The following is a 20,737-nucleotide window of genomic DNA, read 5'->3' as shown; positions in this document are numbered from 1 at the left end:
GGATTCCAAGCTGCTGGTAATTAGGTAGAGAGTTATAGAGGTATTCCTGGAAAAAGGCCCTCTACTTAGTGCTTTACAAAAAGTTCAAAAGTATGTGTGTAGGTTGCAACACATTTCTATCACCCAAACTAGGGGTGAAAGTATCCTCCACTATACACTGTCACCCACACTCATGCACTCCTCAAGATCTCTATTGCCTTTTGTTAACTTTCATTTCCCTTAAGTTCTGGTCTTATGCATCCTTTTAATCTGATTACACAGGATAAAGCATTTTTGGCACAGTACAATGGAAGGGGACACACTGTCATTAGTTCTGAATGCCACAGTCCAAGGTCCTTTTTGGTTTGACAGTGTCATGTGCTTAGATTCCAACTGTCTGACAACAGAATGGCCTGAATTGATGGGTTTGACGTTCTCCTCTTAAGGAGAATAAGAGACTACAGAAGAAACACCTGAGAGCTGTCAGCAACGAAGTATCAGTTCCCCCATAGTTTTTAATACCAATGAGAATACATATCCTTGGAAATGTATTCCCAAAAAGCATATCCCTGTGAGCAGCACATCCCTGGAAATATGAAGTAAGAAAGCTACTTATTGTAATGATAGGGCTAAAGTGATCACAGACGGAAGGATCATTCTGCCCTCCTCCCCCAAATCTTTTACTACGATGGAAGAAAGTCACTGGGATCATTAGCATAGCCTGATGGTTTGTAGATTAAATCTCCATAGAGGATGAGTAGCTTTACTGTAGTCAATCAATAAACAATCACTCAATAAACATCAAATACACATTTTCCTATGTGCAAAGAGAGATATGATTGTGGGGTGGTGTGGTCAAAGTAGGTGAGCCTTATATGAATAAGAAAGAGAATAATAAAAATTTACATTTTAAAGAGCTTTGTAATTTACAAAACATTCATATTTGTTGACTCTCCTATTCATTCAGATATTGATTCAACAAACATTAATGAGTGTCTACTGTATCAAAAGATTAATACAGCATTGTCCCTAACCTCCCTGAGCTCAGAATTACAGGATGGCACAACCAACTTTTTTTCATTTGACAATAATAGGCTACATGGAGAGGAGGAAAGAGGGCACTGGGGAGTTGGTCAAATAAAAACAGGGCTCCACTGAGCTGCACCCTCTTTAAATATGTTTTCTGCATCCTGCCACTGCTCAGCAGCAGAAGAGGAAGTATCGGTTTTAGGAGCCCTGAGTCCCAGCCTCCCCACTTCCTCTTCTGCTTTGGCCCTGCCTTCATCACCCCACTCCTGTTGGCACTCCTCCAACACATACAGACTCTCCAGTGCATGCTAGCATTTACTAGAAAGGTAAAGGAAATCTTGGCAGGCGTATAACTTAATAGAATCATGAAAGTACATCCAGATACTGATTTAATCTTTTTGTCTCTGCTATTGGTTCAATCCAAAAACACCCATCAGTCTCATTCGGACCCTATAATCAAACACATCCTTGAGTCTTTGCATTTCCATTAGTCTCTGAAATATGGCACTTTTGAACTCTCCTCCAGCCCCACCAGACCACTTATGCCTTTTTTTTTTTTTTTGAGACAGGGTTTCACTCTTGTTGCCCAAGCTGGAGTGCAATGGTAAAATCTCGGCTCACCACAGCCTCCGCCTCCCGGGTTCAAGCAGTTCTCCTGCCTCAGCCTCCTGAGTAGCTGGGATTACAGGCATGTGCCACCACGCCCAGCTAATTTTGTATTTTTAGGAGAGATGGTGTTTCTCCATGTTGGTCACGCTGGTCTCAAACTCCCGACCTCAGGTGATTCACTCACCTTGGTCTCCCAAAGCGCTGGGATTACAGGCATGAGCCACCGCTATGCCGTCTTTGTTTTAAGATCTTTGCCTCCCTTTCTGCCCAAATGTGTAGATTCAATCTGCTCCACCCCCTTTCCTTTCTTCTCTGGTGATTTGTAAAATGCCCATCCATGAGTCATGGTCCCCTGCACTCTGTGAATTTTCAGGCTTCTTTTAAATAGATTCTACCCTACTAGATATATCCACATTTTACTATCACTTTACACCATTATTTAGATTCTTGCATAACAGCACCTGCACTTACACACACACACACACACACACACACACACACACACACGTGCTCCTTCCTCTGATCCTAGACATCCACCCTGGGAAATTAGATGCTCTATTACTCAAAAGCTCTTAAGACCACAAAGTTACTCTTCAAAGTTGCCCAATTAGGAGAGGAAAAGAGCAAAAAATGAAGAAAGCAACTCACTGCTACTAATGAGCTATGAGCTTACTGTCTAAATGGGTGTGACAGACATGTAAGCAAAAAGAGTAATTACAGCAATAACAGAAAAACAGAGAGCCAAATCATGAGTGAACTCCCATTCACAATTGCTTCAAAGAGAATAAAATACCTAGGAATCCAACTTACAAGGGATGTGAAGGACCTCTTCAAGGAGAACTACAAACCGCTGCTCAATGAAATAAAAGAGGATACAAACAAATGGAAGAACATTCCATGCTCATGGGTAGGAAGAATCAAGATCGTGAAAATGGCCATACTGCCCAAGGTAATTTATAGATTCAATGCCATCCCCATGAAGCTACCAATGACTTTCTTCACAGAATTGGAAACAACTACTTTAAAGTTCATATGGAACCAAAAAAGAGCCCGCATTGCCAAGTCAATCCTAAGCCAAAAGGAGAAAGCTGGAGGCATCACGCTACCCAACTTCAAACTATACTACAAGGCTATAGTAACCAAAACAACATGGTACTGGTAGCAAAACAGAGATATAGACCAATGGAACAGAACAGAGCCCTCAGAAATAATGCCACATATCTACAACTATCTGATCTTTCACAAACCTGACAAAAAACAAGCAATGGGGAAAGGATTCCCTATTTAATAAATGGTGCTGGGAAAACTGGCTAGCCATATGCAGAAAGCTGAAACTGGATCCCTTCCTTACACCTTATACAAAAATTAATTCAAGATGGATTAAAGACTTAAATATTAGACCTAAAACCATAAAAACCCTAGAAGAAAACATAGGCAATACCATTCAGGACATAGGCATGGGCAAGTACTTCATGTCTAAAACACCAAAAGCAATGGCAACAAAAGCCGAAATTGACAAATGGGATCTAATTAAACTAAAGAGCTTCTGCACAGCAAAAGAAACTACCATCAGAGTGAATAGGCAACCTATAGAATGGGAGAAAATTTTTGCAATCTACTCATCTGACAAAGGGCCAATATCCAGAATCTACAATGAACTCAAACAAATGTACAAGAAAAAAACAACCCCATCAAAAAGTGGGCGAAGGATATGAACAGACACTTCTCAAAAGAAGACATTTATGCAGCCAACAGACACATGAAAAAATGCTCATCATCACTGGCCATCAGAGAAATGCAAATCAAAACCACAATGAGATACCATCTCACACCACTTAGAATGGCAATCATTAAAAAGTAAGGAAACAACAGATGCTGGAGAGGATGTGGAGAAATAGGAACACTTTTACACTGTTGGTGGGTTTGTAAAGCAGTCCAACCATTGTGGAAGTCTGTGGCGATTCCTCAGGGATCTAAAACTAGAAATACCATTTGACCTAGCCATCCCATTACTGGGTATATACCCAAAGGATTATAAATCATGCTGCTATAAAGACACATGCACACATATGTTTATTGTGGCACTATTCACAATAGCAAAGACTTGGAACCAACCCAAATGTCCAACAATGATAGACTGGATTAAGAAAATGTGGCACATATACACCATGGAATACTATGCAGCCATAAAAAATGATGAGTTCATGTCTTTTGTAGGGACAGGGATGAAGCCGGAAACCATCATTCTCAGCAAACTAACGCAAGGACAAAAAACCAAACACTGCATGTTCTCACTCATAGGTAGGAATTGAACGATGAGAACACATGGACACAGGAAGGGGAATATCACACACTGGGGCCTGTTGTGGGGTGGGGGGAGGGGGGAGGGATAGCATTAAGAGATATACCTAATGTTAAATGACGAGTTAATGGGTGCAGCACACCAACATGGCACATGTATACATATGTAACAAACCTGCACGTTGTGTACATGTACCCTAAAACTTAAAGTATAATAAAAAAAAGAAAACTAAACAACTTTAAAAAAAGAGTAATTACAGCACTGTAATAAATGAACCATGCACATGGGAGTATTCATAGAGAATGATAACTTCAACCTAAATCTTGAAGTATAAGTATAAATTTGCCAGGTTCACCTCTTGATTATTTAAGTGTGAAAGAGGATGCATAGATCACCTTCAAGTAGCTAAGGCATAATGAGATAAGGATGCTGAACTAAGTTGGTTAAAAAAAAAAAAAAGAAACAAAGGGTCAGGAGGCATTGCAAAATAAGAATCAACAGGACTCGAGGGATAAAATAAGGATAGGGTGGAGTCAAAGATGACTGCCAGGTTCTATGCCTGACTTACTGGAAGACTATTACTGTCATTGAAAAAATAGAAACATAAGGTGGGGAAGTTAATTTTGAAGAGAAGGTTGTTTTATCTGAAAATATGTTTGAAATTTTTTAAAGGACAAGAGATCCAAGTAGAGCAATCTAATAAGCAGCTGAAAATGATAGACTAAAGTTTAGGTAAGTCATTTGTGGCTGTGGTGGACAGAGATTTGTTATTTGCATGAAAGTTTTCTTTTTATTTTTAACTTCTTCTTAAGTTCAGGGGTACATGTGCAGGATGTGCAGGTTTGTTACATAGGTAAATGGGGTTTGTTGTACAGATTATTTTGTCACCAAGGTATTAAACCTAATATCCCTTAGTTATTTTTCCTGATCCTCTCCCTCTTCCCATCCTCCGCCCTCCAATAGGCCCCAGTGTGTGTTGTTCCCTTATATGTGTCCATGAGTGCTCATCATTTAGCTATCACTTATAAGTGAGAATATGCGGTGTTTGATTTTCTGTTCCTGCATTAGTTTGCTAAGAATAATGGGCTCCAGTTCCATCCATGTCCCTACAAAGGACATAATCTCATTCCTTTTTGTGTCTGCATAGTATTCCATGGTGTATATGTGACACATTTTCTTTATTCAGTCTACCATTGATGGGCATGTAGGTTGATTCCATGTCTTTGCTATTGTGAATAGTACTGCAATGAACATACACATGCATGTGTCCTTATAATAGAAGAATTTATATTCCTTCAGGTATATACCCAGTAATGGGGTTACTGTGTCGAATGGTATTTCTGTCTCTAGGCCTTTTAAATTTAATTTTAATAGTATTGGGGGAACAGGTGGTTTCTGGTTACATGCATAAGTTCTTTGGTGATGATTTCTGACATTTCAGTGCTCCCATCACCCAGGCAGTGTACACTGTACGCAATGTGTAGTCTTTTAGCCCTCACTCCCTTCCCACCCTTCCCCGAGTCCCCAAAGTCCATTATATCATTCTTACATCTTTGCATCCTCATAGCTTAGCTCCCACATATAAGGGAGAATATATAAATGTTTGGTTTTCCATTCCTGATCTACTTCACTTAGAATAATGGTCTCCAACTCTGTCCAGATTGCTGCAAATGCCATAATTTCATTTATTTTTATGGCTGAGTAGTATTCTATGGTGTAGATATACAACATTTTTTATACAGTCATTGGTTGATGGGCATTTAGGCTGGTTCCATATTTTTGCAAGTGTGAATAGTGCTACTATAAACATGCATGTGCATGTGTCTTTTTCATATAATGACTTCTTTTCCTTTGGGTAGAAACCCAATAGTAGTATTGCTGGATCAAATGATAATTCCACTTTTAGTTCTTTAAGTAATTTCCATACTGTTTTCCATAGTAGTTGTACTAGTTTACATTTCCACCAGCAGTGTAAAAGTATTCCCTTTTCACCACACCCATGCCAACATCTATTATTTTTTAATTTTTTAATTAAGTCTTGTAGGAGTAAGGCAGTATCTCATTGTGGTTTTAATTTGCATTTCCCAGATAATTAGTGATGTTGAGTATTTTGTCATATGTTTGTTGGTCATTTGTATATCTTCTTTTGAGAATTGTCTATACATGTCCCTTTTCCACTTTGTGATGGGATTATTTGTTTTTTTCTTGCTGATTTATTTGAGTTGTTGTAGACTTTGGATATTAGTTGTTTGTCAGATGCATAGTTTGCAAATATTTTCTCCCATTCTGTGGGTTGTCTGTTTACTGTACTAATTATTTCTTTTGCTGTGCAGAATTCTTTTAGTTTAAATTTGTCTCATCTATTTATTGTTGTTTTTGTTGTATTTGCTTTTGGGTTCTTGGTCATGAAGTCTGCCTTAGCCGACATCTAGAAGAATTTTTCCAATGTTATTTTTTAGAGTTTTTATGGTTTTGGGTCTTAGATTTAAGTATTTGATACATCTTGAGTTGATTTTTGTGTAAAGTGAAAGACAAGGATCCAGTTTCATTCTTCTACGTGTGGCTTGCCAATTATTTCAGCAACATTTTCTGAATAGGATGTCCTTTCCCAGTTTATGTTTTTGTTTGCTTTGTTGAAGATCAGTTGACTGTAAGTATTTGGCTTTATTTTGGGGTTCTCTATTCTGTTCCATTGGTTCTATTGTGCCATATAGTTCACAAGAGAAGTGGGGGATAGCTGGTAGTGAAAGGCCTCACCCACCTCCCACACAGTTGGCAAGGCCAGCCTCGCTCCTATAGTGCTCCACTAATGGTGCCAAGTTTAGATCCAGGCAGCTTGCTTTTGCAGAACTCAGAACTTTTCCCAGGCCATAAGCTTCCCCGCTGAGCAAGCAAACTTGGCTTTCAGGTCTCACCCCTTCCTATCTGCCCACAGTGTCAGCTGTGGCTCCTGCATTCATATCTGCAGCAGTTCCCATTTGCTCCCTGGCTTTTGCTCAAGAAAGTTAGTGCCCAGTTGAAATTGTTGCAAAATCCAGTTGGAAACTTCTTACACCCTGTGACCCCTCCCTAATTCCACTGGGTGCGTTCCCCAAAGGCCCCTGTGACATACAGTCAGGGATGGCTTCACTGGGCTCAAGCTGGATAATGGGAGCGCCTATAAGGCTCTTCCCACTGCTACTTTTACCTTGATGGTCTTGGATAAGATGTGGGAAAATTCTACAGATTGCCAGGCAGAGATTCTTGTTCTCTTCCCTTACTTTCTTACAAACAAATGTAGTCTCTCTGTCTCTCCATCGTGAACCACCTAAAGCTGAGGGTGGAGTGACACAAGCATCCCTGTGGCTACCACCACTATGACTGTGCTGGGTCAGCACAGCACTGGGTATCACCCCAGGCCTGCTGTAACCACTCCCTGGCTACTGTCTATGTTTACTCAAGGCCCTGGGGATCTATAATCAGCAGGTGGTAAACCCAGCCAGGCTTGTGTCCCTCTCTTAATAGTAGTAAGTTTCCCCATTCTTTGGGTGGGTCCTGTGGTGCCGTTCAGGAGTCAGGGACTAGAATCAAAATGCTTAGATGTCTACCTGGTGTGCTATTGCACTGCACCTGAGTTGGCACTCAAATTACAAAATGCAGTCCTTCCCACTCTTCCCTCCCCATTCCAAAGCAGAGAAGCCTCATCTCATGGCCACCATAACTATAGACCCATGGAGACTACTGCCAGACTACCACCAATGTTCCCTTAAGGGCCAAGTTCCCTTCAGTCAGCTTGTAGTCAATGCTGCCCAGCCTGGGACTCACCCTACAGAACAGTAGGCTCCCTTCCAGCCCAAGAAACATACAGAAATGCCATATGAGAGCCATATACTTGATTTGAGGACCCTGCGAGGTCATTTGGTGGTCTACCTCCCTGTGGCCAAGCTGGCATATAAGGTGTAAGACCAAATTCCCCTCACTTTTTTCTCTCCCTTCCGAAGCAGAAGGAATCTTGCCTCAGCCACCAGAGCTTGGAATATGCTGTTTCACCTGAAGCCAGCAGCTCTGTGTCACCAAAGACCATCAGCAATGTACCTGGATATCATTTCTGTTTATTCAAGGCCCAAGGGCTCTTCAGTTGGCCGGTGATGAGTGTTGCCAGGACTAGGTCCTTCCCTTCAAGGCAGCAGGTTCCCTTCAGAGTATGTCTAGAAATGTCATTCAGGAGCTAGGGCCTGGAAAGGGGGCCTCATAGCTCTAACAGGTGCCCTATCCTGCTATGGATGAGGTGGTATCCAAGATGCAAGATAAAGTCCTCCCCACTTTTCTCTTTTGTCTCTTCAAGCAGAAGGAAGGCATCTATTTTGGACTTGCAAGCTGTGCAGCCTGGGATAAGAAGAAGGATGATATAAGCGCTCTCTTGGCCTGGTTGGTGTCTCTGTAGGTCACATGCTTCTCTAGTCCACTGTATCTGGGCACAGTTTAGCACTAGGACGTTCCTAGGAGTTGCAGTCCTTGCAGCCTAGGCTGCCTTTCAAGATTATTTAGAGCCCCAGGGCACTTTACCCCTGGTGGCAAGGCATGCAGGAACTCAAGTTCTGACTGTTGGAGTGAGTAATTCTCCCCTGACTAAGGCTGGTTTAAATGCTCTCTCTGTGGGCAGGTGTCAGTTGAGTTTCATCCAGTTCTTCTTTCTGCTCTAATAGGACAGCACTGAGTTCAATGCCTCACAATTTCTGCACTCTCCCTCTCTGGCACACAGAAACACTCTTCCCACCACACTGTCACTGCTAGGGAATAGGAGATTAGTGGCATTGGTAATTCAAAGCTGTTTTTTCTACCTTTTTAGTGCCTCTTTCTGCAATATGAAATTAAAACCAGGTACTATGAGTACTCACCTAATTTTTGGTTCTTGTGAAGGTGATTTTTTTGTAGCTAGTTGTTAAAGTGACATACCTGCAGGGAAGACAATTGGTGGAGCCTTCCATTCTGCCTTCTTGCTCCATCCTCTGATACAATTACTATTTTTGAAAAGTACAAAGAAGAGCTAGAGACAAATTAAGTGAAAACAGAAATTTGAATTCTGTGGGTGAATCATCAACTCTCTAGTCAAGTGTTCTCCAAGGTTCTAACATCCTGAGAATACACTGTACTTCCTTCCTCCTAATTCTTCCACATCTGACCTTTCTAACCCTTTATTTACTGTGCCTTCTGAAACACCCTTTCCATTATGAGTAAATTCTCCTATGTCCTAAACCTCTTCAAATAATTCTCTCACCGTGTCCTTGCCTTAAGCTAACCTTGGTCTTTCTCATCAAAAGTGTGCTGCTTATTTTTCTACATCCCATATACTGTGAGCCAGAATCTATTAGCTGTCTCTTGGCTCGCTGATGCTACTCTAAATCATTACTTTTCTACCATAATGCAAAAAGACATTCATCTATGTCACCCTCTAATCTTTCTTATTCACATCGTCTGTCAACCTCTTAGACAGTTCTCCTCTCTACCCCCTAAATTATATGATCACTTTGGTAACGTCATCTTCCATGTGAACAACCAACCCAACAAACTGACTTCAATTTTTCTTACCACCTTATCTGAAACAATGTCCATTCACATTCCATCTTGGTTACTCATTCCATGCCCACGTCCAGGGCCTTATTTGTCACCACAGAACTGAAATTTGGAACTCCAATGTACAACACTCTGACTAAAGCCCATAGACTTTCAGACACCCCCTTTTACCACTACACCAGTTCATACATCTCAGTGAGTCTTCAAGTCTTTTGTGCTCTCCCTTTTCTGCCAATCTATTAAATTTCTTCATAATTTTACTTTTAGCTATTATTTTGGTTGCATTCTATTGTTGCTAATTTTATTTTTTCTGGTTTCAACTTTTATTTAGATTAAGGGGTACATTGTGCAGTTTGTTATATGAGTATACTGCATAATGCTGAGGTTTGGGGTACAAATGATCTCAACACCCAGGTAGGGAACATAGTACCCAATAGGTATTTTTTCAGCCCATGCCCACTTCCCTTTCTCCCCCATCAGGTAGTCTCCAGTGTCCATTGTTCCAATATTTATGTCTATATGTATTCAATATTTAGCTCCCACTTGTAAGCAAGGAAATGTGGTGTTTGGTTTTCTGTTCCTATGTTAATTTGCTTAGAATAATTGCCTCCAGCTCCGTCCATCTTGCTGCAAAGGACATGATTTTGTTTTTTTATATAGCTGCATAGTACTTCATGGTATATATGTACCACATTTTCTTTAACCAGTCTATCATTGATGGCCATTTATGTTGATTCCACATCTTTGCCATTGTGAATAGCAGTTTGATGAATATGTGCATGGATGTATTTTTGATAGACTTAATTATTTTCCCTTGGCTATATAGCCACTAGTGGGGTTGCTGAGTCAAATAGAGTTCCATTTAAAGTTTTTCAACAAATCTCCAAACTGCTTTCCATAGTGACTGAACTAGTTTGCATTCCCACTAACAGTGTATAAGCACTCTCTTTTCTCCACAGCCTCACCAGCATCTGTTATTTTCTAGCTTTTTACTAATTGCCATTTTGACTGTTATGAGATGGTATTTTACTGTGGTTTTAATTTGCATTTCTCTGGTGATTAGTGATGTTGAGTATTTTTTATGTTTGTTGGTTGCTTGTACATCTTCTTTTAAGAAGGGTCTGTTCCTGTTCTTTCCCCATTTTTAAATTGGATTATTTTGTGCTTGTTGATTTATGTTCCTTATAGATTCCGGATATTAGACCTCTGTCAGGTGTACAGCTTGCAAATATTTTCTCCCATTCTGTAAGCTGTATATTTACTTTGTTGGTAATTTCTTTTGCTTTGCAGAAATTCTTTAGTTAAATTAGGTTCTACTTGTTTATTTTTGTTTTTGTTGGAATTGATTTTAGGGACTTAGCCATAAATTATTTGCCAAAATCAATCTTGAGAAGGGTGTTTCCTAGGTTTTCTTCTAGTATTTTAAGGTTCGAGGTTTTCCATTTAAAACTTTAATTCATCTTCAGTTAATTTTTGTATATAGTGAGAGGTATAGGGTCCATTCTTTTGCATATGGCTAGCCAGTTATCCCAGCACCATTTGTTGAATAGGGAGTCCTTTCCCCATTGCTTATTTTTGTCAATTTTGTCAAAGATCAGATGGTTGTAGGTGTGCAGGTTATTTCTGGGTTCTATATTGTGTTCCATTGGTGTATGTGTCTGTTTTTGTACCAGTATCATGCTATTTTGGTTACTGTAGTCTTATAGTATGGTTTGACGTTGAGTAATGTGATGACTCAAGCTTTGTTCCTTTTGCTTACAATTGCTTTGGTAAATTAGGCTTTCTTTGGTTTCATATGAATTTTTAGAATTCATTTTTCTAACTGTGAAAAATAACATTGGTATTTTGATAGGGATAACATTAAATCCATAAATGGCTTTGGGCAGTATGGCCATTTTAACAATATTGATTCTTCCACTCTATGAGCATCGAATATTTTTCCATTTATTTGTATCATCTCTGATTTCTTTTAGCAGTGTTTTGTTATTCTCTTTGTAGAGCTCTTTAATCTTCTTGATTAGATAAATTTCTAGCTATTTCAATTTTTGTGGCTATTGTAAATGGAATTGTGTTCTTGATTTGGTTCTTAGCTAAAATGTTTTTGGTGTACACAAATGTGACTGATTTTTGTACATTGATTTTATATTCTGAAACTTTACTGAATTTTTTGTTAGTTCTGGGAGTTTCTTTGCAGTGTCTTTAAGGTTTTCTATGTATATAATCAGCAGCAGCAGAGAGATAGTTTGACTTCTTCTTTTCCTATTTGAATGCCTTTTATTGCTTTGCCTTGCCTAATTGCTTTGTCTAGGACTTCTTTGGAAGCATTCTTAACTTCCTTACTCCATTGTCCTTTCATAACATTTGCTCTGTGGCCCCCGGTTTTAGATCAATTGAAACATTTGTGTATTTTCTCTCCTACACCCAGGGTGCTTGCTGAGCACTACTGGAATAAATCACACAATCATGCAGACTGGGGCTGTTAAAAATTCACATTCTCAAACCTCAATTGGGCCATCAGTCCCTTCTTGGTCATATTTCTCTCCCATTCTACAGAGCCAATTATTCCAACCTCCACCAATCTTTCAATGAGCTGAACCCTACTGCAGCCCATTTCTTTTTCTCAGCAGATAATATTGTCTCTTATTTTATCAAGAAAATTAAACCTCTCAGGGATGGGCAACCTCTATATTTACAGCTCTACTTCCTCTTTCCCTTATATATCAGTATTCTTTTCTCACTCTGCATGCTGTAGTAGCTTTCAATTCCCTAGAAGATAAACTCAAATTATCTAGAATGGTATATAACACCCTTTAGGATATACTTTCTGCATTTCTTTTCTACCTAATTTCTCACTTTTAAGCCCCATAGTCCAATCACACACACACACACGCCCACACACCCACACACGCCCAAACACACATACACGCACATGCATACTACTTTCATCTTATATTTTAGCCATATCAAAATGTTAGATGTTCCTTAAATATGCCAGGCTACTTCACACCTCCATTCCTTGCTCATTCTACTTTCTCCTCCTACCTAGGATACTCTTCCCCATATGCCCCACCCTTCTCTCTTTCATAAAGCCTTTTCTACAAATACATGCACCCATTTACTACTTTTATGCTCTGTGTCCTTTATCAACTTCTATCACAGCAGCTGTAATAATGCAGTGCATTTATTTGTTAACATACTTGTGTCTTCTTCTAGTAGACTGTAAGCCCTTAGTGGGCAAGGTCTGTGTCTTGTTTTCCAAATATCTAGCACCGAATTGATACATATTAAGTGGCTAATCCATCTCCTTTAATATAACTAGTATTTCAAAGCAATACAGAGCATCTAGAAAGTTTTTAGGGAAGAGGTGATATAAGAGATTGTCTTAACGATGGTTAGAATTACATATAATAGTGATGACGACAAAGGGCATTTTATAAATGGCAATACAGCATTTTGCCATCCCTAAAATGCCCTGAGCAAAGAAAAAGAGACAAAAGGAGAGATGGAGCTATTCATAGCATAATTTGCATGATACACATATGGTAAACAACAGGAAAGTAACTCTATGCAGTTAGGAGGGAATATTATTGTAGTCTTGAATAGTTCTTTGAGGTTAATTAATAGGCCACTGGAGACCTCTGAGAGGGAAAGGATATGATTTGAACTGTGCTTTAAGAATAATTCATCATAAGTGATAAGGACAGATTGAACAGAAGATAAACAAGAAAATTAAAAAGAAATTTGTAAATTTTAAATTCAGCAAACAGTATTCCCACATTGTAAACAAAGAGCAAAAATAATGGATCAATCCTTGCCTTTTGTGCAGTCCTTTGTACAACAGTATATTTAACTGTCATGATTTGTAGCAGTATATGAATTTGTCTTGTGCCAGTGTCTATTGAAAGGCTTTGTGGAATCTGAAACTTAATTATATGGTTTGTCTTTACTCTGCCACTAATTCTGTCTGTTACTTTCAGCAGTCATTTTAACTTTCCGGGTCATGAGGGGAGTGTATTAGATGTTCTCCAAGTGCTCTTCCATCTCTAACATTCTATAAAACTAAGTCATTCAATCCCAAACAGAGATTTTTATAGCCTCTTCTGGTAGCTTCCTTTCACTGAGTAACTCTGCTTGATAATTGTTTTCAGTAACCTGACACATACCCCTTTTTATTACCTGTTCAAAGTGACTTGGTTCACCTCACAGTTGTGTGGGAACATAGCTGTCATCTCTTTTCATATTATTCACTTCGTGATCATATTTGGTCTCAAATCCTTGTGAAAGCCTGAACACCAGAACACTGATAAGTTACTCTTTGTCATGCCATTTCTTATTCTAAAGGGTGCCCAGGAATTACTGGAAGAATTTTTCAAAGAATTGAATACACCTTAGAGAATCAAATTTCATATTATGCTAATAGGTTTATAGTAACAGGAGGGGTCCTGAGAAGTCATTCAGTACCATCGAATGGGACAGGAATTATACCTTTTCCTGTAAACAATAAGGGGCTTCTAAAAAGGGAGAAGGTGTGATCAATGTGGTGTTCAATCAGGACTACCTCTTCATTGCTGATATACTTTGCACACTTATACCAATTTTTCTTCTCTCTCTCCCGCCTTCTCTCTCTAGCTCTACTTGCAACTAAACAGTACATTTCTTGACTGGTATTTGACAAACTACACAAATTTACTTGGCATTCACCTTAGTCCTACCTCCTATCTCATTTAATTTTTCAGTTATTCAGATTTTTAACTTCCATCCACCAGTTGACAACATCTGCATAAAATAATGACTCTCTTTCCTTGCCTATAATTGAGGATATTAATAACGCAGTGGTAGACAAAGCCCAATCCTGTGAAATATAGCTATATCTCTCCCAGGGAAACACAGATCAGGTGTCATCCTCACACATAATCCCTGCCACCAATTCAATGCCAAGCAGTAACACCTAGTGAGGGCTTACCATGTCCCAAGCCCTGAGTTAAGCTCTAAGAGAGCACAAAGATGAGTGAAACCTGCTCCCTGTCCTAAGGAGTTTCAGTTAAGAAGCACTAAGCCAAGTACATAAATGGACATAATAGAGGCTTAGAAAAATATTTTTGAATGAATGCATATAATAACACTAGGCAGAAAGTAGTAAGTTCTATGGTTAGACCATATTTTATAAAATTTAAAGTTTCAAATCAGGCTGGTGGGCTCTTTACAATTCCAGCTTGATTTCTTCTTAGTACATCTTAGTATTTAATATAAGCTGATCTTGTCAGTATCTTTACCAAAATCTTTCTAGATATAAAAATTAAACTTAGAGGCTCCATTTCCAGCCCTATTATTTAAACTTTCACTTGAACCTCAGGAAATTTAGCTGAATTAATTAAATTAATAGTTTGGGGTAATTAAGGCTTAGGTAAACAAGATTCAGCAGACATTTCTTTTTATTTATGACAAAACCATAAATGATTAATCATATAATCAAAATCAGTTTAATTCAATCCAATTTAATTCAATTAATAACTTTTCACGTACCATTTACATACACAGTTATAAGGCCACTTCCATTTCATTCTACTCACTAAGAATGGATACATGGCTATGTATTTCTAAGAGGAATGTAACTACATTACTGTTTTCTGCAACACTTGGGGAAATAAGGTACAGTCTGCTCCTCCACACCAATCAGGCAACTGGACAGTTTTGTTTCCCCATTGATTCCCTCCTTAATGGTACCATGTGCTTTTTTTTTTCAAGAGCTTCTTTCAGCACTACAAAAACCTCCCTTTACCTTGGAAACCTCAACTGCATCCCCAGATTTTGCTATACTTTGGCATAGAAACCTCACCTGGACTCAGGCCAAAGATCCCTGATAAACTCTTTTTGTTTGGAGCATTTATATGCAGACTCTACTCTGTTTCACTCCCACCTTGCCAGAAATATGTCTGAGATAAGTAAATATTCACCTGAAGCACCTTGACTAATCACTCAAACATTTTTATTTACAAGTCCACACTTCTGCTGCTGCCACTCTTAGGGATTTTTATAGCTTGGCTTTAGAACACATTTTCCTCCTCAGAAAATCCCTCCTAGACATTCACTCTTTGGTAGGCAAAATTCAAAGATGACCCCAAGTATTCTTGTCCCCTGATGTACAAGTCCTGTATAAACTCCTCCCCTTGAGTCTGAGTGGGACCTGTGGATATAATGGGATTTCATTTCTTGATTAGGTTACCAATTCATTGATTTTCAGTTTATCAAATAGTGGATTATCCTGGGCCTACTATTCAGATGAGCCCTTTAATAGGAGGTCTAGACATCAGAGAAAGTATCAGAAAGATTTCGAGGAGAGATATCTCTCCTGATGGCCTGGAAGAAAACAAACAGCAATGTTGTAAGATAATAAGACCATGTGTCAAGGGCCTGAAGGTAGCCTTTAGGAGATGAGAGTCATCCCTGGTCAACAGCTAGCAATAAAATGGGACCTCAGTCACACAACTGCAAGGAAAGAATTCTGCTAATGACAAATCATCTTGGAAAAGGACCTTAAGCCTCGGAGGAGATACTAGTTCTGGCTGACAATTTGATTGCAGTGTTGTGAGATGCTAAGCAGAAGACCCAGTTTTTAACTAAACTCCCAACCCACAGAAACCATGAGAAAATAATTGGATGTTGTTTTTAGTTGGTGGTAATTTGTTACACTATAGAAAACTAACACACCTTCACATCTTCTTTCTTTCTTTTTCTCTTTTTATTCACAATGACAATCCAAACAGAGGTTGAAAAGTCACGTTAAAAGTTTTAATCCTTGTAATTTAGTTAAAAATTTATTACTTCATTGAAAATATTTTCTCCCAGATCACCACTGGCCTCCTAATTACCAAGTCCAATTGTCATTTTACAAACTTCATTCTCTTTGGTCTTTTGGAACATTTCAAACCAATGACCACAATCTTTCTTAAAAACCACTCCTTTGGATTCTACAATACTACACATTTTTCATTTTTTTCCTCTCTGATACCCTTTTGCTGTCTTTTCTCCTTTATTATCTTCATTTTACAGATGAGGAAACAGTATCAGAGAAGTTAAGTAACTTGCCCAAGGTCACACAGCTAAGTGAAGAAATAATGATTCAAACTCAGACCAATCTTGGACAAAGACTATTGTGTTATTGCCACTTTATCCATATTGTATTTGCTTCATTAGAAAATTAAGCTAATTTTTCTCCTTTCTTAAAGGAGAAGTCATTTACTATAAAAAGAAGTCTTTATTTATAAAACAGGGCACTTACTATAAATAAGAGATGGTATAGAATAAAACTAAAAACCCTCAATGGAGGCTGGGTGCAGTGGCTCGTGCGTGTAATCCCAGCACTTTGGGAAACTGAGGCAGGCAGATCACCTGAGGTCAGGAGATCGAGACCAACCTTGCCAACATGGTGAAACACGGTCTCTACTAAAAATACAAAAATTAGCCGGGCATGGTGGCGGGCACCTGTAATCCCAGCTACTCAGGAGGCTGAGGCAGAAGAATTGCTTAAACCTGGGAGGCAGAGATTGCCGTGAGCCAAGATCATGCCATTACACTCCAGCCTGTGTGACAGAGCGAAACCTCCTCTCAAAAAAAAAGAAAAACCCTCAACGACCATAAGTTCTAGTGTTTTGATTTTTAGATCCCACAAATAAGTGAGAACATGTGATGTTTGTCTTTCTGTTCCTGGCTTATTTCTCTTTTCACTTAACATAATGATCTCTAGTTCTATATATGTTGTTGCAAATTACTGGATCTAATTTTATGGCCAAATAGTATTCCACTGTGTATATGTACCACATTTCCTTTATCCATTCATCTGTTGATGAACACTTAGATTGCTTCCAAATCTTAGCTATTGTAAATAGTTCTGCCAAATGCCCATTGGCAGATGAATGAGCAAAGAAAAGGTGGTATATGCATAAAATTGAATATAATCCAGCCACAAAAAAGGAAGGAAATTCTGTAATATGCAACTGCATGGATGAGCCTTGAGGGCGTTATGCTAAGCAAAATAACCCAATCACAGAAAGATAAATACTGCACTTATTCCACTTAAATGAAATATCTAAAATAGTCAAATTTATAGAATCAGAAACTAGAATGGCATTTGCCAGGGGCTGCTGGGAAGGTGAGGAATGGGCATAAAATTTCAGTGAAGCAAGATGAATAAATCTTAGGATCATCTTCTAAGCAATGAAATATCCATTTTGATGTTGCTATTTATCCAATCTAGAAAAAAAATAAATTTTTTTCCTTATAAGTAATATCTTGGAAGGTACTCAAGTATATCTGATGTCTCCAACAACCCTAATCAGGGGAGCTGTCAGGGACAACTTTGATCAGAAGGGTGAGGGTGGAAGTTTGTTTGCTTTTAGGGATTTGGACTCTAAAACAATCTGAAGAGATTGCCTTAATTCTGGAATTTGGTTCCCAGAAGACTGTGAGAAAATTTCCAAAAATATACAAAAAAGAGCAATTGTTTTACTAAAGTCAAAGGCTTTATTTATTGCACTTTGTTGGAGCAAAACAAGTTACAAATGTTTTTACTTGGGGCAAAGAGGACTCATTTGTTTAAGTTATTAAGGGCCCAAGAACCAAAATGGTCCACATTAAGGAAGAGATATACTTTCCTGGGAATCAAAGCCTGTTAGAAACTCTATAGAGTAGATTTCAGGCATCAGCTAAGATATGAACAAATGGATCATTGGATTTGGAATCTTGAAGCCATACTGTTTCCAGACCAAACTGAGGGTCGGGCTGATATTTCTCCTGGCCCAATAACAAGATGTAGATGCACTGGGGGAAGAGAGCTTTTATTTCTGTAACCGATTACAGGGAGAAGGCTTAGAAATTATCACCAGACCAACTCAAAATTACAAAGTTTTCCAGAGTTTATATACCTTCTAAGCTATATGTCTATGTGTAAGTGTGCATTCATCTAAAGACATAGCAATTAACTTATTTGAATCTATAACTAAGGTCTGAGTTTTGAAGATCTTCCTCTGGAGCCTCAGTAAATTTACTTAATCTAAATGGGTCTAGGTGCTGAGGTGATTACCCTTATCTTGTCTCCTGCTAAGTCACGGAGGTTTGGGGAGTTCCTTTAGACCCCAATAAACTTCTTTGTGGAGGCCTGGGGAGTTTCTTCAGACCCCCAATAAAGTTTGTTTAATCCTAAATGGGTCCTGTTAAGAATTCCTTCATTATTTTGTCATGCTTTAAGGCCCAGGAAAAGCCTAGGCAAAACTCTTGGTGGACTCTTTGTTAAATTCCAGCTCTCACATAAGGGCACTGGCTTTTAATATTTAACTTAACCACTCAGTCAGTATTGAAATAGTTATTACGGAGGTCTGAGTTAGTGAAACCTGGCACGCCACAATACGATCAAGCAGGATGGACTTCTCATACAACAAATGATAAAAATGAGCTATCAAATACGATTTCAGGAGTTTCTCTCTTAGAAGGCCTGAAGAATGGTGGTGCTATAGTCAGAACCAGAGATGGCATAACTTGTAAAACAAAAAGGATAAGTCCAGGAAGAAAGACCTGTGGGCTTTGACAAGTGAGACAACTTTAAATCATAAATTTAGCACTTTGTTTAGAAATCACTTTCAAATCTAGAACTGTGCTGCCTTTAGAGTGCCTGACCAAGCCTGTATTCTGAGCACAGCTAATACACTCAAAGAAGAATTGAGTCTTTCTCTCAGATATCACCTAGAAGAAGTTCAGGGAACATCTAGTAGTCTTAAGTCAAGATCACAAACAACTTATGTCCGTGTTTCTCTTCATTGAAACTATAAATCTCTTATCCTACAGCTCTCAAAAAACAGAAATACCCTGATTCACAGATTTATAGTATGGTAGGTTAGAAGGGACTTCAGAGATCATATAATTCAAGCCCTATTGTATAACAGATAAGTGAAGAGATCATAAAAAAAGAAGTGATTTGCCCAAGATCACTCAATTAATCATCCACTGAAGCCTGAGGTATAATCCAAATCTTTGGCCTAATAGTCCTATGAATTTTCCACTATGTTTATTGTCTTTGTCCACGCAACAATTGTCACTGATTTTGACAAGACATCAATTAAATCATACAGAAAATGGATTAACTCAAATAAATTAATATTTAAAGGGCACTGTACTACATACAGCAGGATATACCAAAAGAATGACTTATTCATTGCCTTGACAGTCTAGTGGGACTGGGGTAGGATTAATGGGGAAGTTTAAATTGAATGACCAGGGACTCGAGGTGGAGCAAGATGGTAAAATAGAAGGCTCCACTGATTGCGCCCACACACACCTCACAAGGACACCAATTTAACAACTATCTACATTAAAAAAAAACCTTTGTAAGAACCAAAAATCAGGTGAGCTCTCATAGCACCTGATTTTAACTTTGTAATGCTGAAAGAGGCACTGAAGAGGTAGAAAAAACAGTCTTGAATTGCCAACTCATCCCTCCCACATCTCCTAGCAGTGGCAGCATGGTGCAGAGAGTATTTCTTTGTGCTCGGGAAGAGAGAGAGCAGCAATTGTGAGGCATTGAACTCAGTGCTGTCCTGTAACAGCAGAAAGGAAAACTGGATCAAACTCAGCTGATGGCCACCCATGGAGGGGGCATTTAAACCAGCCCTAGGCAGAGGGGAATTACAGACTGCAGCAGTCAGAACTTGAGTTCCCACAAGTCTTGATGCTGTGGGCTACAGTGTTCTGGGGCTTGAAGTAATTTTGAAAGACACTCCAGGCCACAAGGACTGCAACTCCTAGGAGAGTCCTAATGCTGAACTGGGACCAGAAACAGTGGACCTTGGGGGTGGTCTCATGACCTACTGAGACAACAGCTGGGGTGGCTAAGAGAATGCTGGCATCATTCCTCCCCTAACCCCTGGCTACACAGCTCATGGCTCCAAAACAGACCCCTTACTTCCACTTGAATAGAGGACAGAGAAGAGTTGGGAGGACTTTGTCTTCCATCTTGAATACCATCTCAGCCACAGAGGATAGGGCACCAGTCAGAGTCGTGAGGCCCTTTTCCAGATCCCAGTTCCTGGACATTTCTAGATACACCCTGGGCCAGAAGGAAGTCTGTTGCCTTGAATGGAAGGACCCAATCCTGTCAGTATGTACCACCTAATACCTAAAGACCTCTTAGGTCCTGAATAACCAGCAGTAATACACAGCTACTATGTCAAGGGCCTTTGGTGACACTCTGAGACTTGCTATCTTCAGATGAAAATT

At 39.1% G+C, this 20,737-nt stretch overlaps 1 protein-coding gene across 4 annotated transcripts in view, besides 1 other annotated feature; it reads left to right on the top strand.

Annotated features, from left to right (window-relative positions):
* Positions 1-20,737, top strand: part of CYSLTR1 (cysteinyl leukotriene receptor 1) — a 56,144-nt gene that overhangs the window by 4,351 nt on the left and 31,056 nt on the right. Inside the window, exon 2 of one of the 4 annotated variants that reach the window (NM_001282187.2) lies at positions 8,244-8,326. The exons of 2 other annotated variants lie outside the window; for them this stretch is intronic. The gene's annotated coding sequence lies outside the window, so the exon portion shown is untranslated. Of the gene's footprint in view, positions 1-4,591; positions 4,652-8,243; positions 8,327-20,737 lie in introns of all 4 variants that reach the window. One more of the 4 variants, NM_001282188.2, reaches the window with a different exon arrangement.
* Positions 197-286: an enhancer, noted in NCBI's record as "active region_29786". NCBI's record gives its function as "activates an Ori minimal core promoter by ATAC-STARR-seq in GM12878 lymphoblastoid cells {active_cell/tissue: GM12878}" and the evidence as "EXISTENCE:reporter gene assay evidence [ECO:0000049][PMID:35858748]".

This window comes from Homo sapiens, chromosome X, assembly GCF_000001405.40.
Source record: "Homo sapiens chromosome X, GRCh38.p14 Primary Assembly".
Classification (NCBI taxonomy): Eukaryota; Metazoa; Chordata; class Mammalia; order Primates; family Hominidae; genus Homo; species Homo sapiens.
The sequence above is the reverse complement of the archived record's forward strand: the minus strand, read 5'-3'. Positions and strand labels throughout refer to the sequence as shown.